Below are 26889 nucleotides of genomic sequence, written 5' to 3'. Positions count from 1 at the left end.
TCAATTTGACAGGAGCTTGGGAGCAAGCTTGTCACTGACTTTCAAATCAGCGTTAAGTAGTAGTGTCAGGGAGACTATGTGTCAAAAATTCTAAGGGCCACCTCTAGGTGGAGGCTGACTCCCTCTCTCAGAGGCTTCAGAGGAAAACAATATCAAGTATTTTTTGGCTGCTGGAAGAACTGAGCTATGTAAATCTGCCCGCATAGTTCCAGTGAACCTTAACTGGAAAACAGGACTACGGGATTTTGAGAATTGTATCAGCTATTGGCAGAGAGATGTTACCATCCTAGACAAGAGCATGAAGGCAGATGCTTCCAAATTGGCAGCCAACAGAACCTCACCTACAGAGTTGAACTTTTTGCACATTAGAGGATAGAGACACTCATGATAAATTCTGCCATGCCACTGTGGCAAATGGCAAGGAAGATTGTCTCACTTGCAAAGTGCAAGTTACCAGTTCCTCACCCTGATTAGAATAATCCCCTCTGGCACTTATGGGGCAGGCAAGGACAAAACCACAAAACCTGAATACTGCTACTATAGATTCTGATGTAGAAACACAACAGGATGTGGACTGAGCTCCAAGAACTCCACCTCCATTGTTATGTGATCTTCCTGCCTTCACTGTCACCCTGCCCAAACACTATTAGTTGAGTTTTGCTGTTTATTTTTATTTTATTGTTTATCTTTGTTTTATGTTATCCTATACATAAACACAGATTAATAAGTTACCCTATATCCAGGACAGGGGAATACAAAAGACCAATAAAGGCTGGCACAGGTGTGTGTTGGGGATGGGACAGGGCAATGGGAAAATGTTACTTTCTTTAAACTTTTCACCCTGAGGTCTGTGCTGTCCCTTCACCTTGGTACATTACAGCATTTGGAGAGTATTCAGGGTCAGAAGGTTCCATATGATGAAGGAGGATGAAGGACTTTATCTGGAGGATGAAGGACTTTATCTGGGGGATGAAGTCCAGGGTCAAGGTGTGGGCAGGGTGTGTTGCCCCCAAGGCTTCTCTCCTAGGGTTGTAAGTGGCCACCTTCTCCTTGTGTCCTCACGTGGTCATTTCTCTGTGTGTGCACATTTGTATCCTTATCTCCTCTTGTATGGAGACATCAGTTAGATTGGATCAGGGCCCACCCTAATGTCATCATTTTAAAACATTTTTTATTGTAACTAGTAACTAATAAAAATTGTCTACATTTGTGGAACTGTTTTTAAATATGCATACATTGTGGAATGGTTGACCCAAGCTAATTGGCATATGTGTTACTGCACATACCCATCATTTTTCTGTTGTGAGAGCACTCAAAATCTACAGTGTTAGCAATGTTCAAGAACAGATTACATTAACTGTAGTCACCAAATGCAATAGATCTGATGTCCTTATTCCTCCTGTCTAGCTGAAATTTTGTATAATTTGACCATCTCCCCACTCCCTCATCTCTACCCCCAAATACCTCATTTTAATATAATTACCTCTTTGATGATGCTATCTCCAAATGTAGTCACATCCTTAGGTACCGGGGGTGACAGTATCAACATATGAATTTTGGGAAGCACGCAATTCAGTTCACAGCAGCCTCTGTCAGTACGTAACGTTTACATTGAGATCCCGGTAACTCAGCAACAGAGGGAATGACATGCAAAGATTCTGGGAAGAAAATTCCAGGCAAAGAATTCTGTGGAGCAAGGGTCCTGAAATGTGAGTGAATACGGTGAGTTTGAGAAACCACAGACCAAAAAGGGGGCACAAAAAGCAAGGGGAGGAGGTGAACTCACAGGGTCTTGGTAAGACATGTAAACCTGACTGTGATTTCATTCCCTATGCAGTGAGAAGTCATTGGAGGGTTTTAAGCAAGAGGCACAATAAGAATCAGATGTTCAAAAGTTTTTTCCAGGTGTTTTATGGAGAATGCATTCTAAAGAGGGCAAATATGGAAACAAGCAGTCTTTTGTCACAGGTCAGGTGAAAGTGATGGTGGCTTTGACTGGGTGATGCAGAATCAGAATGAAGTAGGTGGATTGGGGATACATTTGAGCATGAGGCTATAGGACCTGTTGATTTGTTGCATGAAAGGGCAAAGGATCTTCAAGACTACTGCTACATGTTAGTCAAGTCAGAAGAATTTCCAGAGATGTAGTGGGGCCCTTTACTGAGACAGAAAAGAGAACAGGCATTGGGAGAACATCCAAGTGATATAGTATTTTCCTAACAGCATGGGTCAGGAAACTTGGTGGAGCCTGGGCATCCTCAGAAGTACTGACACACTCTTCCCACTGGGTTGTTATATCACTGATACCTAGACCCAGAGCACAGAAATTCCCAAATGGGAAGAGATGTGATGCTATAACATCACAAGCCTAGTGATGAGGTTGGTGGGGCTTTGCAGCTCAGCAGCTGTGTGATCTCGATGGAGACCTGCTGCTTCTGGCCTGAGTGAGGCCAGTCCTCAGTGCAGTGGGCATAAGGGCATTCACCTCATAGATCTGTCTGATGATTCAACAGAGTCATACTCCTGAAATGAATGCAAGTCCTGGCACATGCTGGGTAACTGGCATGAATTATTATTGGCATTCTTATTAATATCTTTGATGTTATTATTAATATTCTCAATACTGATGGGACATCAGCTCACCCACTCCAACAAAACCTTCAGAGATATCCAAAGGCCCTCAGACAGTCTTCACTCTTCCATATAGTTCTCCAGCTTAGTAGCCAACTGACTCAGTTCAGCCTTATTTGGGTTTTTAAGTTAAACCAGTGGCTCTAGGCATGTCCCTAAGGCTCTGAGCAGTGTGTGGGTTGTGTTCTGTCAACTCCAGGCCTTTGAGAGGACAGTAGGCAAGGCGGGGGTGGCAGCTGTAGACCCATGGAGACAGTGGCATGAGCAGGTTGCTCCCCACATACAAGGCTGCTTCTTTTTGCTCGTTCAACAAATAGAAGCCCACTCAGTCTCACAAAGTTTGCTCCCAAGTGAGACAATATACATTTTGCCTATAGCTGTATTTTTCTACTGCTGACAACAGATGAAACTAAGAAAGTCAAGTACAGTATCCCCCCCTGTCTGCGGGGACTATGTATGTTCCAAGAACCCACTGAATGCCTGAAACCAAAGATAGTACCACACCTTACCTATACTATACACAAATTTCGTTTTGCTTCTTCACAATTTCCCACTAGGAGATTTGTTCCTACAATAGACATTAGCAACCTCAGCCTACAAGATTGTTTTTCTTTTCTTATTAAGCTTAGAACTTTTGGGTTTTCGTTTTTTAAAAAAGCACTTTATGGCTTTTCTTTGGCATATCTGAATTCCCAGTATCACTGCTCTGTGCCTTGGAATCATTATGAAGCAAAATAAGAGTTTGTTGAACCCATGCATTACAATAACATAGCAGTCAATCTGATAATCGAGACAGCTACTAACATGACTAACAGGCAAGTAGCAGGTACAGAGTGAAAACATTGAGCAAAGATGATTCACATCCCAGGTGAGTGTGAGATTTCATCAAGCTACTCAAAATTGGTGAACAATTTAAAATTTATGAGTTGTTTACTTCTGGAAATTTCTATATAGTATTTTCAGACTGCAGGTAACCGAGACCCCAGAAAGCAAAACAGTAGATAATGGGAGACTATCGTATCAGTCTTCTCTTGGAGTACCATAGACACAATTTTACTGTCCAAATTAATGAGCGTTCATTGATCTACTAATGTTTATTGAGCACCTACTAAGTCTCAGACCCATGCTGGTGTGTCAGTAAAGTGGGGGTATCACTTTGCCTACCATGGGGGTGTTGAGCCTCATTGTGCCAGGTTTTGGGGTATCTTCCTGCCAGTCACCCACCTGACTTGCAGAGGTCCCAGGCCTGAGCCCAGCCAACAAGAGCAGTTGGTCTTCTACAACAGTTGGTTTGATGAAGCCACTCTCTTGGTCAACAATGGCACAGGACTGGTTTCCTGGATCACATCTTTGTGGGGCCCCAGGAGCTGTGGGTGCTGGATGCCTCTCAGCAGGATGCTGGGTCCTAGAGCTGCCAGGGCTCACCCCATGCATGCTGTGCCCTTTTGTTGTCTATGTGACAGGTGAGTGCTTTTTTTTATTTTCAGACATGGTCTCACTCTGTCACTCAGGCTGGAGTGCAGTGGCACAGTCATGGCTCACTGCAGCCTTGACCTCCTGGGCTCAAGTGATCCTTCCACCCCAACCTCCTAACTGGGACTATACGCATGTACCTCCATGACCAGCTAATTTTTAATAATTTTTTTGTAGAGATGGGGTTTTGCCATGTTGCCCAGGTTGGTCTTGAAATCTTGGGCTCAAGCAAGCCGTTCGCTTCAGCCTCCCAAAGTGCTGAGATTACAGGTGTGAGCCACGCACTTGGCCATGTTTGCCTTCTGGGGCTGCATGAAACTGGATGGAGGGGTCCAGGGCCACTGAGTTCCCTGAGTGGGTGCATGGCCAGGAGCTGCTGGGGTCTCAGGAGGTGTGGGTGCAGCACCCCTGCTCTGAGGGTCTCCCTGATCTTGGTGAATAGGAGTTCACCCCAGGAGATAATGCCTGAAAAGGGGGTTCCAGCCCCACCTGTGAGGGCCACCTGGGGTTCCCTGGGGCACAACAAAGACTGAGATCCAGACAGAAATCCATTGCCCCCAGCTGAGAAGCAGCAGGCATCTGGACTTGGGCCATCCTGGGGCCACTGTCCACTCCCACCTTCCCCTACATTGCAGATGCTCCATCCTTGGGAGGTGGGGAAGATGGGAGGACCAAGCTAAGACACAGGCAAGATCAGATTCCATGCACACAGATTGTCTAGGGGTGAGGCCTGCTTTCCTTCCAACTAGCTGTGGCCTTGAGTAGCAGGGGAGAAACTGAGGCCTGGGGATGACCTCCTTGGAGTCACACAATGGTTGACATCCCCTCAGGGTGAAGGTGGGGCTGGGCCATCCAGATGTCCCTCGATGCTTTGTGCTGGGCTCTGGGTGGCTGGCTGGGGGTGGGAGGAGATGCCCATGCTGCAGATGGGGAGATTAAGGCAAGGCCTCTTGGGGTCCCAGGAGCTGTGAGGAGGCCAGGACTGGCCTGTGGAGACTTTTATGTTGGGGTTCTGGGTGAGGTGACTACTGCAGGTGTGAGCACAGCAGTTGGTATGGACTCAGGTGGCTGCCGTGGGGCAGATGGATGGAAGGGTTAAGGCACCAGGAGATAAAAGCTACAGCCCAGCAGGAGGGGAGGGTGGCTGTGGGGGCTGTAAAAGGGGTGCCAACAGCATTTTTGGGGGATGGACTGTGGGCGTGAGAGATCAGGAAGGGAGACAATGCCTAGGCATTCTGGCCTGGAAGAGTGGCAGGTGGACTTTGCCCAGCTGTGGAGGGGTCTGTCAGGGAGGTGGGGCTTCTGGTTTCAGAGGATCCCAGAGATGTGCTCATGCAGATGAGGGTCCTTGTGGGATGGAAATCGAAGGGGCAGCTACAACCTGGGGACCATTGGTGGTGGGCTGAGCCCCTGGGACCTCTGGGATAAGCAGGCAAGAAAGTGAGAAAGAATCAGCCAGGGAGACACAGGAGAGAGAAAAAAAGGAAAGTAGGCCCAAGGAGAGGAGTAGACCCAGGAACAGGATGAAAATTTCTGCTCACCTGCCCCATTGGCCTCTCCCCCTGCCCACATACCCTAGTGCCCTCGCCCTGAGTCTCTGCTTGCCTCTGCCTACCTGGCCATCCTAGGCAGGTGTGGGCTAGAGCTGTGGGAGTAACTAAAGGGCCACTTTCAGAAGGTACAGTCTAGAAGTGGGCAGCGTTGAGTCATTGTCATCTCCAAGTCCTGGGAACAGTTTCTGCCACAGCCCACTGAACTGTCTTCATCACCCAGGGACCTCCTTCCCTCACCCCTGGATGCCTAGAGGACAGCTTGGAGCTGTGATAGGTGTCTCTTCCCAGTGTCTCTCTACATTGCTCCTGCCTCTGCCTCAGCATCCTCCTCTGAGAGGTGGGCCTGTTGCTGCACGTGAATGGCAAGGAGGTCACTGTTGGAAAGGGGCTCCCTCCGTCCTCTTTCCTAGGCCCCCAGTGCCTCTGTCCTGGGGGTAAGGCAATCCAGCCTACCCACGAGTCCAGACAGGAAGGCTGACCCACCCCAGTCCTAAGAAGTAAGAAAAATTCGTTGAGCTGTGTGGGAGGGAATGGTAACAGCACTGGACACTAAGACAAAAAAAGACCTGAGGGCTCCAGGACGCCATCCTCACCAGTGCCCGCTGTGCCCTGGAGCTCTGCAGGAGGTGGCTTCAGGGCTCAGAGGCTTGCAGGCTAAGGCTTCTCAGCTGCTTCTGAGACTCCCAGCTCTGTAAGGGGCTGAGTTTTCCCTCCTGGTAAAGTGCTCCCAATGCCTGTCCTGGCTCGTTCACTTAGCTGAGCTGCCTGCTGGGTCTCCGTCCTGGGGGGTCCTCCCAGTGTGCCTCCCTGGGTGGGTGGGGGCTTCCCTGGAGACTCCCTTATGCCCTGAGGCTATCAGGCCAGGATGAAGCACCCCGACCTCTCAGCAGGAGCAGCAACTTGGGAGAAGCAGAGGGAATGGGAGGGAACACATGGCCCGGCTGTGAGCATGACGGGGCAGGGACATTGTTTTGAAGTTCCTGGGAGCCTCATGCAGCCCAGGCAGAGGTCCTTGAAAGGCCAACACTCTCCCTATACAGGAGGAAAAACTGAGGCTGGGGTTGAGAAAGGGCAGCCTTGGATTCAGGGTCTGGTCAGATGGGCCTCCGCGCCTCACCTCAGCTACGGCCCTCACTTGCACTTCCACAAGCAGAGGCCTTTTACTGGACTTGGCTCCAGTAGATGGACAGGAAACTGCCAACCATGCTGGCCACCCAAACCAACTTTCGCTGCCTGGCTACTGGCAACCCCACTCTCTCCATCTCCTGGCTGAAGAACCACAAGGGTTCTAAGCAGAGCATCACATCAGGACATCAAGGGGTCCCTGGAAGTTGGTGGGAATGTGGCCTGATTGTGAAAGGTGGGACCTGTCCTCCATTCACCCACACTTCCACCTGGAGCTGTGGCACCAGCAGTAGAGCCTGCTCATGGAGTATGGTGCCCTCAGACTGCTGTCACTCCACCTCTGTGATGGAGAACAAGTTCAACAGCCTTCAGCAGACATACACGCTGGACAGCTGGGTGAGGGCTGTGGCCCATGGGCAGGGGTCAGGAAGGTGGGCAGCCTCTGAGCTCTCATCTATTCTCTCAATGTGCTCTCTTGACCATCCCATTCTACCCACTGGGCTTCTGGCCAACCAGACACAGCAAGGTGGAGTTCCACTGCAAAGTGTACAGTGACCTACTATGTGGAGGTGAACAGCAGCTAGGTGGGTGTCAATGGCATGCCTATGTCACCATGCTCAGGGGAGATGCTGCTGCTGTCCAGGAACATGGGGATGGCAGACCTGGGGCTCCCCTTCACTGAACTCTACCATCATTATAGAAGTTGTGGAGTACCTTCTGAAAGACACAATCATGTCATCAGCCAGGAGACAAAATCCTCTGCAGTGAGCAGTTCTGAATATGAACTTGGTGCTGGTTCATTTAGCATCTGCTATGAACCAGTGTCTACAATTAGAGGCAGTTTCTCCTAAAGTAAGATTATATGAGTCAACTGATAAAAGTGGGAACCACTCCTGTGAGTATTGTCCTTCAGGATTTATTCAAAACATTTGCTTCTGCTTTTGCAACTTTATGCTCTCTGAATTCCCACACTGAGTGAAAACCTCCCTGGTGAGCTTATAATCAATCTCACAAATTAAACAATTTAAGTTTTATGTTAAGGTCCACTATAAAATATGGAACAGAATCTATCTGATTTATAATAGATGTAAAACAAAAAATTAGGATGGGCATTCTGGACATGTAGAATTAGTTCCTTTCATATTTATGAGTTTTCTACCAACCTGTATTTATTACAATAAAAATAATGCTAAAATACATTTTATTTTATTTTCTGGAGTTTAAATGGATACACTTGATAATGGAATACTATTAACTAAATGAACACTGATGTCTGTTTTTTTCAGTTTTTTAAAAAATTTATTTTAATAGAGGGAGGAGCCAAGATGGCCGAATAGGAACAGCTCCGGTCTACAGCTCCCAGCATGAGCGATGCAGAAGATGGGTGATTTCTGCATTTCCATCTGAGGTACCCGGTTCATTTCACTAGGGAGTGCCAGACAGTGGGCGCAGGTCAGAGGGTGCCCGCAACATGCGTGTGCCGAAGCAGGGCGAGGCATTGCCTCACTCGGGAAGCGCAGGGAGTCAGAGAGTTCCCTTTCCTAGTCAAAGAAAGGGGTGACAGAAGGCACCTGGAAGATCTGGTCACTCCCACCCGAATACTGTGCTTTTCCGAAGGGCTTAAAAAACGGCGCACCAGGAGATTGTGTCCTGCACCTGGCTCAGAGGGTCCTACGCCCACGGAGTCTCACTGATTGCTAGCACAGCAGTCTGAGATCCAACTGCAAGGCGGTAGTGAGGCTGGGGGAGGGGCGCCCGTCATTGCCCAGGCTTGCTTAGGTAAACAAAGCAGCCGGGAAGCTCCAACTGGGTGAAACCCACCACAGCTCAAGGAGGCCTGCCTGCCTCTGTAGGCTCCACCTCTGGGGGCAGGGCACAGACAAACAAAAAGACAGCAGTAACCTCTGCAGACTTAAGTGTCCCTGTCTGACAGCTTTCAAGAGAGCAGTGGTTCTCCCAGCACGCAGCTGGAGATCTGAGAACGGGCAGTTTGCCTCCTCAAGTGGGTCTCTGACCCCTGACTCCCGAGCATCCTAACTGGGAGGCAACCCCTAGCAGGGGCAGACTGACACCTCACATGGCAGGGTACTCCAACAGACCTGCAACTGAGGGTCCTGTCTGTTAGAAGGAAGACTAACAAACAGAAAGGACATCCACATCAAAAACCCATCTGTACATCACCATCATCAAAGACCAAAAGTAGATAAAACCACAAAGATGGGGAAAAAACAGAGCAGAAAAACTGGAAACTCTAAAAAGCAGAGTGCCTCTCCTCCTCCAAAGGAATGCAGTTCCTCACCAGCAACGGAACAAAGCTGGACGGAGAATGACTTTGATGAGCTGAGAGAAGAAGGCTTCAGACCATCAAATTACTCCGAGCTATGGGAGGACATTCAAACCAAAGGCAAAGAAGTTGAAAACTTTGAAAAAATTTTAGAAGAATATATAACTAGAATAACCAATACAGAGGAGTGCTTAAAGGAGCTGATGGAGCTGAAAACCAAGGCTCGAGAACTATGTGAAGAATGCAGAAGCCTCAGGAGCCAATGCAATCAACTGGAAGAAAGGGTATCAGCGATGGAAGATGAAATGAATGAAATGAAGTGAGAAGGGAAGTTAAGAGAAAAAGGAATAAAAAGAAACGAGCAAAGCCTCCAAGAAATATGGGACTATGTGAAAAGACCAAATCTACTTCTGATTGGTGTACCTGAAAGTGACGGGGAGAATGAAACCAAGTTGGAAAACACTCTGCAGGATATTATCCAGGAGAACTTCCCCAATCTAGCAAGGCAGGCCAACATTCAGATTCAGGAAATACAGAGAACGCCAAAAAGATACTCCTCGAGAAGAGCAACTCCAAGACACATAATTGTCAGATTCACCAAAGTTGAAATGAAGGAAAAAATGTTAAGGGCAGCCAGAGAGAAAGGTCGGGTTACCTACAAAGGGAAGCCCATCACACTAACAGCGGATCTCTTGGCAGAAACTCTACAAGCCAGAAGAGAGTGGGGGCCAATATTCAACATTCTTAAAGAAAAGAATTTTCAACCCAGAATTTCATATCCAGCCAAACTAAGCTTCATAAGTGAAGGAGAAATAAAATACTTTACAGACAAGCAAATGCTGAGAGATTTTGTCACCACCAGGCCTGCCCTAAAAGAGCTCCTGAAGGAAGTACTAAACATGGAAAGGAACAACTGCTACCAGCTTCTGCAAAATCATGCCAAAATGTAAAGACCATCGAGACTAGGAAGAAACTGCATCAACTAACGAGCAAAATAACCAGCTAACATCATAATGACAGGATCAAATTCACACATAACAATATTAACCTTAAATGTAAATGGACTAAATGCTCAAATTAAAAGACACAGACTGGCAAATTTGATAAAGAGTCAAGACCCATCAGTGTGCTGTATTCAGGAAACCCATCTCACGTGCAGGGACACGCATACGCTCAAAATAAAGGGATGGAGGAAGATCTTCCAAGCAAATGGAAAACAAAAAAAGGCAGGGGTTGCAATCCTAGTCTCTGATAAAACGGACTTTAACCAACAAAGATCAAAAAAGACAAAGAAGGCCATTACTTAATGGTAAAGGGATCAATTCAACAAGAAGAGCTAACTATCCTAAATATATATGCACCCAATACAGGAGCACCCAGATTCATAAAGCAAGTCCTGAGTGTCCTACAAAGAGACTTAGACTCCCACACATTAATAAGGGGAGATTTTACACCCCACTGTCAACATTAGACAACGAGACAGAAAGTCAACAAGGATACCCAGGAATTGATATCAGCTCTGCACCAAGTGGACCTAATAGACATCTACAGAACTCTCCACCCCAAGTCAAAAGAATCTACATTTTTTTCAGCACCACACCACACCTATTCCAAAATTGACCACATACTTGGAAATAAAGCTCTCCTCAGCAAATGTAAAAGAACAGAAATTATAACAAACTATCTCACAGACCACAGTGCAATCAAACTAGAACTCAGGATTCAGAATCTCACTCAAAACCGCTCAACTACATGGAAATTGAACAACCTGCTCCTGAATGACTACTGGGTACATAACAAAATGAAGGCAGAAATAAAGATGTTCTTTGAAACCAACGAGAACAAAGACACAACATACCAGAATCTCTGGGATGCATTCAAAGCAGTGTGAAGAGGGAAATTTATAGCACTACATGAACACAAGAGAAAGCAGGAAAGATCCAAAATTGACACCCTAACATCGCAATTAAAATAACTAGAAAAGCAAGAGCCAACACATTCAAAAGCTAGCAGAAGGCAAGAAATAACTAAAATCAGAGCAGAACTGAAGGAAATAGAGACACAAAAAACCCTTCAAAAAATTAATGAATCCAGGAGCTGGTTTTTTGAAAGGATCAACAAAATTGATAGACCACTAGCAAGACTAATAAAGAAGAAAAGAGAGAAGAATCAAATAGATGCAATAAAAAATGATAAAGGGGATATCACCACCGATCCCACAGAAATACAAACTACCATCAGAGAATACTACAAACACCTCTACACAAATAAACTAGAAAATGTAGAAGAAATGGATAAATTCCTCGACACATACACTCTCCCAAGACTAAACCAGGAAGAAGTTGAATCTCTGAATAGACCAATAACAGGATCTGAAATTGTGGCAATAATCAATAGCTTACCAACCAAAAAGAGTCCAGGACCAGATGGATTCACAGCCGAATTCTACCAGAGCTACAAGGAGGAACTGGTACCATTCCTTCTGAAACTATTCCAATCAATAGAAAAAGAAGGAATCCTCCCTAACTCATTTTATGAGGCCAGCATCATCCTGATACCAAAGCCAGGCAGAGACACAATCAAAAAAGAGAATTTTAGACCAATATCCTTGATGAACATTGATGCAAAAATCCTCAATAAAATACTGACAAACCGAATCCAGCAGCACATCAAAAAGCTTATCCACCATGATCAAGTGGGCGTCATCCCTGGGATGCAAGGCTGGTTCAATATACCCAAATCAATAAATGTAATCCAGCATATAAACAGAACCAAAGACAAAAACCACATGATTATCTCAATAGATGCAGAAAAGGCCTTTGACAAAATTCAACAACGCTTCATGCTAAAAACTCTCAATAAATTAGGTATTGATGGGATGTATTTCAAAATAATAAGAGCTATCTATGACAAACCCACAGCCAATGTCATACTGAGTGGGCAAAAACTGGAAGCATTCCCTTTGAAAACTGACACAAGACAGGGATGACTTCTCACCACTCCTATTCAACATAGTGTTGGAAGTTCTGGCCAGGGCAATTAGGCAGGAGCAGGTGTATAAGAATGCTTGTGATTTTTGTACATTGATTTTGTATCCTGAGACTTTGCTGAAGTTGCTTGTCAGCTTAAGGAGATTGGGCTGAGACAATGGGGTTTTCTAGATATACAATCATGTCGTCTGCAAACAGGGACAATTTGACTTCCTCTTTTCCTAATTGAATACCCTTTATTTCCTTCTCCTGCCTAATTGCCCTGGCCAGAATCCATCTGTGAATCCATCTGGTCCTGGACTCTTTTTGGTTGGTAAACTATTGATTATTGCCACAATTTCAGCTCCTGTTATTGGTCTATTCAGAGATTCAACTTCTTCCTGGTTTAGTCTTGGGAGAGTGTATGTGTCGAGGAATTTATCCATTTCTTCTACATTTTCTAGTGTATTTGCGTAGAGGTGTTTGTAGTATTCTCTGACGGTAGTTTGTATTTCTTTGGGATTGGTGGTGATATCCCCTTTATCATTTTTTATTGTGTCTATTTGATTCTTCTTTCTTTTTATACACCAACAACAGAAAAACAGAGAGCCAAATCATGAGTGAACTCCCATTCACTATTGCTTCAAAGAGAATAAAATACCTAGGAATCCAACTTACAAGGGATGTGAAGGACCTCTTCAAGGAGAACTACAAACCACTGCTCAGGGAAATAAAAGAGGATACAAACAAATGGAAGAACATTCCATGCTCATGGGTAGGAAGAATTAATATCATGAAAATGGCCATACTGCCCAAGGTAATTTACAGATTCAATGCCATCCCCATCAAGCTACCAATGACTTTCTTCACAGAATTGGAAAAAACTGCTTTAAAGTTCATATGGAACCAAAAAAGAGCCCGCATCGCCAAGTCAATCCTAAGCCAAAAGAACAAAGCTGGAGGCATCACGCTACCTGACTTCAAACTATACTACAAGGCTACAGTAACCAAAACAGCACGGTAGTGGGACCGAAACAGAGATATAGATCAATGGAACAGAACAGAGCCCTCAGAAATAACGCCACATATCTACAACTATCTGATCTTTGACAAACCTGAGAAAAACAAGCAATGGAGAAAGGATTCGCTCTTTAATAAATGGTGCTGGGAAAAATGGCTAGCCATATGTAGAAAGCTGAAACTGGATCCCTTCCTTACACTTTATACAAAAATTAATTGAAGATGGATTAAAGACTTAAATGTTAGACCTAAAACCATAAAAACCCTAGGAGAAAACCTAGGCATTACCATTCAGGACATAGGCATGGGCAAGAACTTCATGTCTAAAACACCAAAAACAATGGCAACAAAAGACAAAATTGACAAATGGGATCTAATTAAACTAAAGAGCTTCTGCACAGCAAAAGAAACTACCATCAGAGTAAACAGGCAACCTACAAACTGGGAGAAAATTTTTGCAACCTACTCATCTGACAAAGGACTAATATCCAGAATCTACAATGAACTCAAACAAATTTACAAGAAAAAAACAAACAACCCTATCAAAAAGTGGGCAAAGGATATGAACAGACACTTCTGAAAAGAAGACATTTATGCAGCCAAAAGACACATGAAAAAATGCTCATCATCACTGGCCATCAGAGAAATGCAAATCAAAACCACAATGAGATACCATCTCACACCAGTTAGAATGGCAATCATTAAAAAGTCAGGAAACAACAGGTGCTGGAAAGGATGTGGAGAAATAGGAACACTTTTACACTGCTGGTGGGACTGCAAACTAGTTCAACCATTGTGGAAGTCAGTGTGGCGATTCCTCAGGGATCTAGAACTAGAAATACCATTTGACCCAGCCATCCCATTACTCGGTATATACCCAAAGGACTATAAATCATGCTGCTATAAAGACACATGCACACGTATGTTTATTGCGGCACTATTCACAATAGCAAAGACTTGGAACCAACCCAAATGTCCAATATTGATAGACTGTATTAAGAAAATGTGGCACATATACACCATGGAATACTATGCAGCCATAAAAAATGATGAGTTCATGTCCTTTGTAGGGACATGGATGAAATTGGAAATCATCATTCTCAGTAAACTATCGCAAGAACAAACAACCAAACACTGCATATTCTCATTCATAGGTGGGAATTGAACAATGAGAACACATGGACACAGGAAGGGGAACATCACACTCTGGGGACTGTTGTGGGGTGGGGGGAGGGGGGAGGGGTAGCATTGGGAGATATACCTAATGCTCGATGACGAGTTAGTGGGTGCAGCGCACCAGCATGGCACATGTATACATATGTAACTAACCTGCACATTGTGCACATGTACCCTAAAACTTAAAGTATAATAATAATAAAATTTAAATTAAATTTAAAAATAAAAAAATAAAAAAATATAAACAGTGACCCTGTCTGCAACATAAGTGATCTAATGACAATTACTCTAATACATGGGTGGCATTTTTTTTTCATTGTCTTCCTCAGTATCTTCTGCAGTTACATTGCCTTCACAGGTAGTGTGAGGAGGGGCTGCACTGGGGCCTTATCAGACATCAAAGTGCAGGCAGCGAAAGGCAGCCTCGCCCAGGCTGGCTGCTGCAGCCCCCGCCAACACTCCCTGACACACGTTGCCTGGAGCCAAACGGGGCTGTGGGCAACAAGCAAGGGGATGGCTGATGGTCCTGCCTGATCTGCACCACCTGGGAAGCAGAAAATCCCTGGGAACTTTTTTTTTTTTTAAGTCAGAGTCTCACTCTGTTGCCTGGGCTGGAGTGCAGTGGTGCAATCTTGGCTCACTGCAACCTCTGACTCCCGGGTTCAAGTGATTCTCCTGCCTCAGCCTCCTGAGTAGCTGAGATTACAGGTTCACGCCACCAGGCCCAGCTAATTTTTGTATTTTTAGTAGAGATGGGGTTTCACCATGTTGTCCTGGCTGGTCTTGAACTCCTGACCTCAGGTGATCTGCCCATCTCGGCCTCCCAAAGTGCTGGGATTACAGGCATAAGCCATTGCACCTGGCCACCCATGGGAACTATTATATCTTCCTCAGCTACAGGAACAGCAGGAGGAGCGTCGAAGTTAAGGGGCCAGAAGTGGTCCGGAAGTTCTCGGGTTGAGCCAGAAACAGTGGCCAAGAGAGTTTTAAATAAAGTTTACATGTGGCTAGATATGACCTGCTGATTACTCTTAATTTTTTCCACATTTATTGAACTATGATTTACGTATTTAAAAGTGTATCTATTTAGGGTGTATAATAGAGTGCTTTGAGATGTGTATACATCTTTAAATTATCTCAATGAAGCTGGTTAACATATCTATCCCCTCACATAGTTACTTTATACATTTCAGTGTGTGTGGTGAAAGCATCTGAGATCTACTTTAGTAATAAATTTCAACTACACATTATTATTAACTACAGTCACCATTCTGCACATTAGGTCCCCGGCAGTTTTTCATTATATAACTGAAGGTATGCACCCTTTGATGGATATCTCCCCAGTTTTCCCCACTTCCTAGCCCATGGTAACTACCCTTGTTCTCTGTTTTTTTCTTTTTTTAAATATTCCACATACAAATGAGATCATGCAGTATTTGTCTTTCTGTATTTCATTTATGTCACTTAGCACAATGTCTTCAGGTATATCAATATTGTTGTAAATGAAAGAATTTCATTCCTTATTAAGGCTGAAATTCTCTTACAGTTTATCCATTTATTTGTATCAGAGAAGTGCAGATACCCTTGGCTATGCTTATTTTATGTCCATTGGCAATATACTCCAAATTGAGATTAATGGTACTTCTAGTTTAAAAATTTTAAGGAAACTCCATACTGTTTTTTTCTTTCTTTTTTTTTTTGTATAATGGCTGCACCAATGAATATGCTCAGCAACTGTGTGCAAATATTCTCCTTTCTGTGCACCCTAACACTTTGTTCTTTTGACTTTTTGATAATAGCTCTCCTAACACAATGATAAGATGATATCTCATTGTAATTTTGATTTTAATTACTCCGAGAATTAGTGATGTTGAGATTTTTATATATACTTTTTATATACTTGCTGGCCATTTCTATGTCTTTGGAAAAAATTGATATTTTGCCCAATTAATCAAGGAAATGGATTTTTTGTTCTGCTGGTTTTTTTGTATTGATTAGTATTATATATTTTTTGAATAGTAACTTATTATCCTAATATGGTTTACAAATATTTTCTCCCATCCCATATATTGTCTTTGTATTTTGTTGATTTTTTCTTTTACCATGCAGTAACTTCTTGCTTTGATATAGTATCACTTTTTTATTTTTGCTTTTGTTGCTTGTGTTCTTTGTGTAGAATCCAAAACATCATTGCCATGACCAGTGTCAAGGAGCTTTTTCTCTATTTTTTTAGAGGATTCATAATTTCAGTTCTTATGTTTAAGTATTTAATTTATTTTAAGCTCATTTTTTCTAATTATATAAGAGAAGGGTTCACTTTTTGTGTGCGCATATCTAGTTTTTTCTACACCATTTCTTGATGTGTCTATCTTCTCCTAATTCTGTGGGATCAGTTGATTGTATACGCGTGCATTTATTTCTGGGTCCTCTATTCTGTTCCACTGGTTCTCATGTAGATACTACACTATTTTATTTTAATGACTATAGCTTTGTAATATAGTTTGAAATCAGGAAGTTTGAGGCTTTCAGCCTTTTTGTTCTCAGTATTTGGCTATTTGGCGTCTTTTGTGGCTCCATACTAATTTTACAATTGTTTGTTCTACATTTATTTTAATGGCATTAAAATTTTGATAGAAATTTCTTTAACTCTGTAGATGACTTTGTGCACTATAGATTTTTAACAATATTATTTTTTAGAATCCATGAACACAGGATATAGTTCTCATTTTGTATTCTTCAATTTCTTTCATCAACATTTTATAGTTTTCAGTATGCAGATCTTTAATTTTCTTGGTTAAACTCATTCTATTTAATGAACTAAGTATTTCATTCTATTTGATAATATTGTAAACGGAATTGTTTTCTTCCTTTTTCAGGTATTTTGTTGTTACTGTATCAAAATACAACTGATTTTCATGTTAATATTGTATGCTGCAATTTTACTGTACTAGTTTGTTAGCTCTAACAGGGTTTCCTTAGTGGTGGTGGTAAAATGATGGGTATTCTTAACCCTGGTTACACTTCAAATTGATAGTTGCTATTATCATTTCGTAATTCTTTAAAATCTGACCAGAAGGGTTTATGCTGACATGAATTCAGTGGAATTCAAATGTTCCCATTTGAAATAATTTTGTCGGTTTTGCCTGGGCCCCGGGATGGAAGGCACCTTGTGGGAGCCCAGAGATTCAGGATGGGGAGAGAGAAGCGGTCAGGGAGGAGGTTGATCAAGAGAAGCACAGAGGGTCTCCGGGAACAGTAGGGAGGAAAGAGTGTCCTGTTGGAAACCCAGTGGAAAGAGAGAATGAGTCGGAAAAGGGGTGAAGGGTGGGAGTGGGCAACAGGACTGCTTCCCGGCCTGGGCAGGGGCCCAGTGTGGGCAGGGTGGGAGGGAGTGGAGAGGACCAGGCGGACCCCAAGGTCAATTTGGAGAAAGGGACATCTCCCTGTTTCTTCGCCTCTGCCTGGCGTTCTGCGGCCATGGGCCCCAGGGGCAGGAAAGGGGAGGAGGCGGCTCCCCGCGGGCTCGGAAAGCTGAGGGGTGCATACCCGCTTCGCAGGGCCTGGGTGACAGCGGAAGGAAGCGAGGGCTGCGGATCCCGCTAGCCCCGGGGGTGGGCAAGAGGGGCTCAGGCAGGGCCGAGCTCATGGGGCCCAGCGCCAGGGCCTGCAGGTGACCCTGGAGGAATCCACCCGCCTGTGCAGTGGCCTTCTGGGAGACCAGTGTGTACGGCACCATGGACACGGCCTTCCCAGCTGGAACATTTGTGAGGCTGTAATTTAAGCTCAGGCATACAAGCGGCCAGAAGGTGGACTGGATGCAATCTGAGCGCAAAGTCCAACCTAGCGGGAGTAAGCGGAAATGCCTGGCCTGCGTCAAACTGGGCTCTTAGGATAAGGCTCTAGGCTAGATGGCCACTGCCTTATAGAGACTCAGGCTCGGCGGGAGCCTGAGGAGCACCAGGGACCCAGTGCAGCAGGGCGCAGTGGGCAGCGACAGCCCCACAGCTACTGCTACCCTGCACAGTTCACCTTCTCCAAGGCCCGGCCCCCACCTGAGCCCAGCACTGAATTGCATGGCGCCTCCTGGACCACTGCCGGGTGTGACCAGCGGAAGACCCCACCTCCCAGGGAGAGGACCCCACTATATCCCCAGCTAATAAACCGCTCCCCCCACCAAAAATAAATAAATACAAAATAATTTTGTTTGGTGTTTGAAAATAATGTGTATTCTCTGTTTACTGGTCAACATGCTGCCCATTTATATATATGCCTAATTAGTCAAACTTTTTAATGAAATTATTTAACATTATGACCCTTTATTATGAAACAAAACAGTAAATTTTATAATGGCTTTAATATCATCTAATATGATTAAAATATGTCAATTTGTCATTGCCAGTGAATCTTCCTGTTATTTATTTTACACTGCTAAATATTCTGTCTACAAATGTCTAATGGCTTAGAATCTTTCCTTGCATATTCTCTGTGATAAGTACTAACTACTCTAATTCATCAAATTATCTCTTTATACCATTCTTAAAATACAATATTATTGTCCGGGCATGGTGGCTCAGCTACTCAGGAGGCTGAGGCAGGAGAATTGCTTGAACCTGGTAACCAGAGGTTGCAGTGAGCCGAAATCACACCACTGTACTCCAGCCTGAGAAACAAAGCGAGACTTTGGCTCAAAAAAAAAAAAAAAAAAAAAGAACTATATATATATATATATATATATATAAATGTAAGAGAATTAAGAGACTTCTATATATATGTATACTTTATTTATTTTGTATAATTATTTTTCTGCCTAAATACTAATGAAAATTATGAGATCTATTCACTCTGCCCTCTTGATAACAGTCAGTTTTTTTTTCTCTTTATTAATTACAAATGCAGTTTCATTACATGGATATGTTGCATAGTGGTGAAGTAGGGTCTTTCGATGTAACAATCATCTGAACAGTGCTCATTGTCCCAATGAGGTATTTTGTCATTCCTAAACCCTCTACCAATCTTTCATCTTTCTGAGTCTCCAGTGTTTATTTTTCCAGTCTCTATATCCAAGTGTATGCATTTTTGAGCTCCCACATATAAGTGAGAAAATTTAGTATTTTTTTCTGTTTCTGTGTTATTTCACTTACAGTTATGGCCTCCAGTTCCATTCATGTTGCTGCAAAAGACATGATTTTATTTTTCTTTATGGCTGAGTAGTATTCCATGGTATAAATGTATAGCAAATTTTCTTTATTCAATCATTGATTGATAAATTTAAATTGACTCCCTATCTTTGCTATTGTGAATAGTGCTGTAATAAATATATGGGTGTGGCTATCTTCTTTATGTAATGATTTATTTTCCTTTGGGTAGATACCCAGTAGTGAGAATGCTGGATCAAATGGAAGTTCTATTTTTAGTTTTTTGAGAAATCTCCATACTGTTTTCCATAGAGTTTGTAGAAATTTACATTCTCACACACAATGTATAAGTATTCTCTTTTCTCTGTATCCTTGCCAGTATATGTCATTTTTCTGCTTTTTAAATAATTAGCCATTATGAATGATGTAAAATGGTTTTTAATTGGCATTTCTCTGATCATTGGCAATGTTGAGCATTTTTTACATGCTTATTGGCTATTGTTGTCTTCTTTTTGAAAAATATATGTTCCCATTATTTGACTGCTTTTTAATGAGGTTACTTGTTTTATTCTTGTTGAGATGTTTGATTTCCTTGTATATTCTGGACATTAGTTCTTTGTTACATGCATAGTTCGCAAATATTTTTCATATTCCATAGGTTGTCTGGTCACCTGTTAAATAAAGCTTCTTTTCAGGAGCTTTTTAGTTTAATTAAATCACTGTGGGGAAGGGGCTGCCTCCTTCCTCTTTCATGGGCCCATTGGTCTATGTTTCCATTTATATATTTTTGTTATTGTTGCATCTGCTTTTGAGATCTTAGTCATGAATTATTTGTTCATGCCAATGTCCAGCTGAGTTTATCATAGGGTTTCTTCTAAAATTGTTATCATTTCAGGTCTTACATTTTAGTCTTCTAATCCATATTGAGTTGATTTTTGTATATGGTGAGGGTTAGGGATTCCATTTCATGCTTCTGCATATACTAATATAATTTTTCTAGCACAATATGTTGATTAGAATGTCATTTTCCCATGTATGTTTTTGTTGACTTTGTAAGAGATCAGTTGTGTGTAGGTATGTGGCTTTATTTCTAGGTTCTCTATTCTGTTCCATTGATCTATGTATCTATTTATATCAGTACCATGCTGTTTTGGTTATTAAAGCCTTCCAGTATAATTCTGAGTCAGGTAATGTATGTTGTCTTTGCTTAAATTTGCTTTGGCTATTTAGGCTTTTCTATGGTTCCATATGAATTTAAATTTTGTTCCAATTCTATAAAAACAATTGGCATTTTGGTAGGAATTACATTTAATATGTAGATTGTTTGAGGCACTATGGTCATTTTAATGATAATAATTCTTCCAGTCCATGAGCACGGATGTTTTTCTCATTGTCTGTGTCTTATACAATTTATTTCATCAGTGTTTTGTAGTTTTCCTTATAGAGATCTTTCGCCTATTTGATTAATTGTATTTCTAGGTATTTCAACCTTTTTTGTAGCTATTGTAAAAAGAAATTGACTTTTTAATTAGGTTCTCAGCTTGATAATTATTAGTATATAAAAATACTACTAATTTTTGTGCATTGATTTTCATGTCCTGCAACATTATTAAATTCATTTAACAAATCTAAAAGTTTTTGGTGATCTTTAGATTTTTCTGTATATAATATTATGTAATCATCAAAAAGGGACAATTTGACTTCCTAATTTAAACCATATGGATGGTCCCACCAAGATCAACAGACAGTATCTGTGGGGAGGGCACAGGTGATGGTATGTCTTTAAAGTGGTCATGTGACTACGGTTGGAAGCCTAAGCTGACAGCCACTTAGAGAAGCATTGCCTGTGCAGTTTCAATGTACATACAAATCATTTCTGATTCTAGGCCTCTCTCTTAGTGATGTGATTCTGCAGGTTTGGAAGGGGTCCATGAATTGGCTTACAATCATGGTGAAAGATGAAATTGAAGCAGGCATCTCACATGGTAGGAGTGGGAACAAGAAAGATGGGGGAGGGATACAACATACTTTTAAACCACCAGATCTCGCGAGTACTCACCATGACATGGACAGCACGCAGCCATGAGAAATCCATCCCCATGATTCAAACACCTCCCATCAGGCCCCAACTGTAACATTAGGGATTAACATTCAATATGAGATTTGGAACAAACGTCTAAACTCTATCATATGACCATTAGAAAAACAGATGAAACATGTATGGTTTATACTGTCCAGATACTTTCATTCTAGAGCAAATTGAATTCAACATTCTGTGATCAGAAGAAAGAAGGGAGGTGTACAGGGGATTTTAGCTGCATTTGTTCCACTTCCCATAGACTGTTGTGAGTTCCGATGTCACTAACTAAAGGGCTACTCGTGGACAGAAGAATTATTGCTGTTGTTGAATTATTCCTATTTCTTTTACCTTAGTAAAAATAAACTTTTTAGATTCTCATATAATTTTCCTAAAAAACGCTAAGAGTTTCGGTTAAATTCCTTGTTATTGTGTGTTATAAAAATTGATAGGAAAATGGCTAAAATAGATTAAAAATTATACAAACTCAAGGAGTCAAGTTTCTATTAGGCAGGCTTAGGAAAAACAGAGCTGGAAATACTCCACCATCACAGACATCGGATGCATGAGGCTCACTTTCTGTTGCAGCCCTGCCTGAATCCACCCTCTACTAAGGCCTCATCTAGGTTTGCCCTCACCCTAGAATCTCCTCTCACAGAACTAATTAAAGGAGACCAGAAATTTGAGTGGTAGCTCCTGCTGCCTATCCTGAGCTGATGCCCACAATTTCCTAAAAATAAAAAAGCAGATAAATGGGAGCCAGAAGATGGAGACGGTGGGGTTGCCAGGAGCCAGGCAGTGAAAGTTGGTTTGGGTGGCCACCATCGCTGGAAGTTTCCTGTCCATCCACTGGGGCCAAGTCCAGTAAGGGGCCTCTCCTGATGGAAGTGTGCATGAAGGCTATAGCTGAGGTGAGGAGCAGAGACCCATCTGACCAGACCCCCAATTCAAGGTCGCCCTGCCCACCCCCAGCCTCAGTTTTCCCTTCTGTGTAGGTAGAGTGTTGGCCTTTCAAGGACCTCTTCCTGCACTGCCTGAGGCTCCCAGGAGCTACAACACGATGTTCCCATCCAGTCATGCTCAGAGATGGGCCAAGTGTCCCATCCCATTCCCTCTGCTTCCCCCAAGTGGCTACTCCTGCTGAGAAGTTGGGGTGCTTCTTCCTGGACTGAAAGCCTCAGGGAATAAGGGAGTCTCTACAGGGGAGCCCCCACCCACCCAGGGAGGCACAATGGGAGGGCCCATGAGGAAGGTGGCCCAGCAGGTAGCCCAGCTAAGTGAACAAGCCAGGACAGGCAGTGAGAGCACTTTACCAGGAGGGGAAACCCAGCCCCTTGCAGAGCTAGGAGCCTCAGAAGCAGCTGAGAAGCCTTGGCCCACAAGTCTCTGAGTCCCTAAGCCACCTCCTGCACAGCTCCAGGGCCCAGCAGGCACCAGTAAGCATGGCCTCCTGGAGGCCTCAACTCTTTTTTGTCCTAGTGTGCAGGCTTTCACCATTCCTCCCCCGAAAGCTCAACTAGTTTTTCTTCTTTCTGGGGGCTGGAGTAGGGCTGCCTTTTTGCCTGGACTCATGGGTAGGCTGGATTGCCATACCCCCAGGAGACAGGCACCAGGAGCCCAGGAAAGAGGAAGGAGGAGGCCCTTCCCCACAGTGACCTGCTCGCCATTCACGTGCAGCGACAGGCCCACCTCTCAGAGGAGGATGCTGAGGCACAGGCAGGAGCAGTGTAGAGAGACACTGGGAAGAGGCACCAATCACAGCTCTGAGCTGTCCTCTGGACCTCCAGGGGTGGGGAAGGCGACCCATTGGTGATGAAGACAGCTCAGCGGGTTGTGGCAGATGCTCTTCCCAGGACTGGGAGACGACAGTGACTCAATGCTGTTCACTTCTAGACTGTGCCTTCTGAAAGTGGCCCTTCAGTTACCCTCACAATTACCCCACACCTGTCTGGGATGGCCAGGTAGGCAGAGACAAGCAGAGACTCAGGGCGAGGGCACTAGGGCGTGTGGGCAGGGACAGAGGCCAATGGGGCAGGTGAGGGGAAATTTTCATCTACTTGCTGGATCTGCCCCTTTCCTGGGCTCTACTTTACTCTTTACCCTCTGCCTCTGGCTCCCTGCCTGGCTCCTCCTCACGTTCTTGCCTGCTCACTCCAGAAGTCCCAGAGGCTCAGCCCACCACCATTTGTCCCCAGGTTGTAGCTGCCCCTTCCATGTCCATCCCATGAGGACCCTCATCTGCATGAGCACACCTCTGGTCTCCTCTGAAATCAGAAGCCCTATCTCCCTGACAGACCCCTCCGCAGCTGGGCAAAGTCCACCTGCCACTGTTCCAAGCCAGAATGCCTGGGCATTATCCCCCTGCCTGCTCTCTCACACCCACTGCCCATCCACCAAAACTGCTGTTGGCACCCCTTTTACTGCCCCCACAGCCACCCTCCCCTCCTGCTGGGCTATAGCTTTTGTCTCCTGGTACCTTAACCCCTCTGTCCATCTTCCACACAACAGCCACCTGAGCCCATGAGCACTGCTGTGCTCACATCTGCGGTAACAACCTCACCCAGAGCCAACATCTAAGTCCCCACAGGCCAGTCTTGGCCTCTTTACTGCTCCTGGAACCCCAGGGCCCTGTGTCCCAATCACTCCCTCTGCAACCTGGGTGTCTCCTCCCACCTACCGCCTGCCCCCTAGAGCCCAGGACATCCAGAACAATCTAACACATATGTAATACATACGAATTACATAATAATTTGTAATACATCGTATTACATGCAAATTATGTAATATGTATGAATTCATCATAATACATATAAATTATGATGTCATGATATATTGTGATGTCATAACACATACAAATTATGATGTTGTAATATGGTGTGATGTCATAATCCCTATCCATTATGCTATCGTAATATATTGTGATGTTTTAATACATGCACATTATGGAGTCATAATATATTGTGATGTCACAATACATGGAAATTATGACATCATAATAGACAATGGTGTCATAATACAGATTATGATGTCATAATACATTGTGATGTTATAAATACATATGAATTATGATATCATAATATTGTGATGTCCTAATATCATATTTTTATCATATTTATGATATAATAATATAAAATTGTCCCAGGCAATAAGAAGAGCTCTGAAAAGAGCATCACATCAGAATATCAAGGTGGGCCTGGAAGTTGGTGGGAGTGTGGCCTGGAAGTGGAAGGCAGGACCTGTCTTTGGGTCACCTGCCTTCCCACAGCACCAGCAGTAGAGCCCAGTCATGGAGTGTGGTGCCCTCAGACTGCTGTCACACCACCTCTGTGATGGAGAACAAGTTCAGCAGCCTTCAGCAGACATACAAGCTGGACAGCTGGGTGAGGGCTGTGACCCATGGGCAGGGGCCAGCAAGGTGGGCAGCCTCTAAGCTCCCATCTATTCTCTCAATGTGCCCTTCTGACCATTCCATTCTATCTGCAGGGCTTCTGGCCAACCAGATGCAGCAAGGTGGAATTCCACTGCAAAGTGTACAGCAACTTAGTATGTGGAGATGAACAGCAGCAAGGTGGTTTTAATGGCATGCCCTATGCCACCATGCTCAGGGGAGATGCTGCTGCTTGCCAGAAGCATGGGGATGGCAGGCCTGAGGCTCCACTTCACTGAACTCTACCATCATTATAGAAGTTCTGGAGTAGCCCATGAAAGATAGAATCATGTCATTGCTCAGAAGACAAAATCCTCTACAGTGAGTTCTCACTGTAGATATGCAGATTTATTACCCTAAAAACAATGCTAATTTGGCATTGGTTCATTTAGCACCTGCTATGAGCAAATGCCTAAAGTTAGAGGCGGTTTCTCCTAAAGTAAGATTACATGAGGCCGGGCATGGTGGCTCACGCCTGTAATCCCAGCACTTTAGGAGGCCAAGGTGGGCGGATCATGAGATCAGGAGATTGAGACCATCCTGGCTAACACAGTGAAACCCTGTCTCTACTGAAAATACAAAGAATTAGCCGGGGGTGGTGGCTGGCGCCTGTAGTCCCATCTACTTGGGAGGCTGAGACAGGAGAATGGCATGAATCTGGGAGGCGGAGCTTGCAGTGAGCCGAGATGGCGCCACTGCACTCCAGCCTGGGTGACAGAGGGAGACTCTGTCTCAAAAAAAAAAAAAAAAGAAAACTTTGAATTTGTGCTTCACAATATGGAACAAAATCTATTTGATTTATAGTATATGTAAAACAGAAAAATTAGGATAGGCCATTCTGGACATGTAGAATTAGTTCCTTTTATATTTATGAGTTTTCTGCCAAGCTGTATTTATTACTCTAAAAATAATGCCAAAATACATTTTATTTTATTGTGTGGAGTTTAAATGGATACACTAAATAATGGAATAAGATTAACTAAATGAGCATCAGTGCCAATTTTTTTCACTTTTTAAAAAAATCTATTTTAGCAAAGTTTTTATTTTTACTGTAAAATTGCACTTGATTAAATCTACTCCTAAATATTTCTTTCTTTTTCATATATACACGAATGGAATTGTTTTCTTAATTTTATTTTCAGGTTGATCATTGCTAGTACATAAAAGTACAATTGAACTTTGTATATTGATTTTGTATCTTGTTACCTTGCTCAACTCATTTATTGGTTGTAGTGGGTTTTAATGAATTTCTTATAAACTTTTATATTCATGTTATGTCATCTGCAATGATAGAGAATTCTAACCTCTTATTTTCCCACATGGATAATTTTATTTTTCTTATGTAATTTCTTTGGATGTTAATATTTTTGTCTTGTTTTCAAATGTCAAGACACAACCATTATTTTATTATTATGGGGTTAGCCATAAGTTTTTCACTGATGCCCTTTAGCAGATCTAGGAAATGTGCTTGTACTCCTCCTTTCCAGGGTGATTAATTGTGAATGAATATTGGATTGGTCAAATGTTCTTTGTGGCTGTTGAAGGGATGTTTCTGTTACTTTCCTTTATCCTATCACTTTGTTTAATGCATTGATTATTGGATTGGTCAACATTGCATTTGTGAAATAGTTCCATTTGGTCATGAAGTAGCTGGGACCACAGACATGCACGACAATGCCTGGCTAATTTTTTTCATTTTATTGTACGACATACATACCCTTCCCAGTGTGTATGTTGTACACGCTGCTCTTGAACTCCTGGCCACATACATATAATTTATAAAAAAAATAATGTTATATACAAGGTTAAATGCAAATGTCCTACAGTGAGGGCCAGGCTTCAGAATAAGGAGGAAGGCCTGCCTGAAAAGGGCTGCAGCTTGGAACTTTTCACCCCAAAGAGGTGGGGCCTGGAGCTCTATTATCCAATCACTGGTGCTGGGGTAAAAACTTTCTTAAAACTTTTTTTTTTTTTGAGACAGAGTCTCGTTCTGTCGCCCAGGCTGGAATGCAGTGGCGC

General features: G+C 43.4%; 1 long non-coding RNA gene and 2 pseudogenes across 2 annotated transcripts in view, besides 1 other annotated feature; 2 read left to right on the top strand and 1 right to left on the bottom strand.

Moving 5' to 3' along the window:
* The window catches only part of LOC105371200 (uncharacterized), a 36762-nt gene that overhangs the window by 4849 nt on the left and 5024 nt on the right, over nt 1–26889 (bottom strand). For both annotated transcript variants that reach the window (NR_188628.1, NR_188627.1), the window contains exon 2: nt 1484–1702. This is a non-coding gene — a long non-coding RNA (uncharacterized LOC105371200). The remainder of the gene's footprint in view (nt 1–1483; nt 1703–26889) is intronic.
* Nucleotides 6813–7404, top strand: FGFR3P5 (fibroblast growth factor receptor 3 pseudogene 5; annotated as a pseudogene).
* RARRES2P5 (retinoic acid receptor responder 2 pseudogene 5) lies at nt 17814–18279 on the top strand (annotated as a pseudogene).
* Nucleotides 17930–18224: an enhancer, noted in NCBI's record as "tiled region #3600; HepG2 Activating DNase matched - State 12:CtcfO". NCBI's record gives its function as "activates a minimal TATA promoter and a strong SV40 promoter by Sharpr-MPRA in HepG2 cells {active_cell/tissue: HepG2}" and the evidence as "EXISTENCE:reporter gene assay evidence [ECO:0000049][PMID:27701403]".

This window comes from Homo sapiens, chromosome 16 (genome assembly GCF_000001405.40).
Source record: "Homo sapiens chromosome 16, GRCh38.p14 Primary Assembly".
Classification (NCBI taxonomy): domain Eukaryota; kingdom Metazoa; phylum Chordata; class Mammalia; order Primates; family Hominidae; genus Homo; species Homo sapiens.
This window is presented reverse-complemented; position numbering and strand designations above follow the sequence as displayed.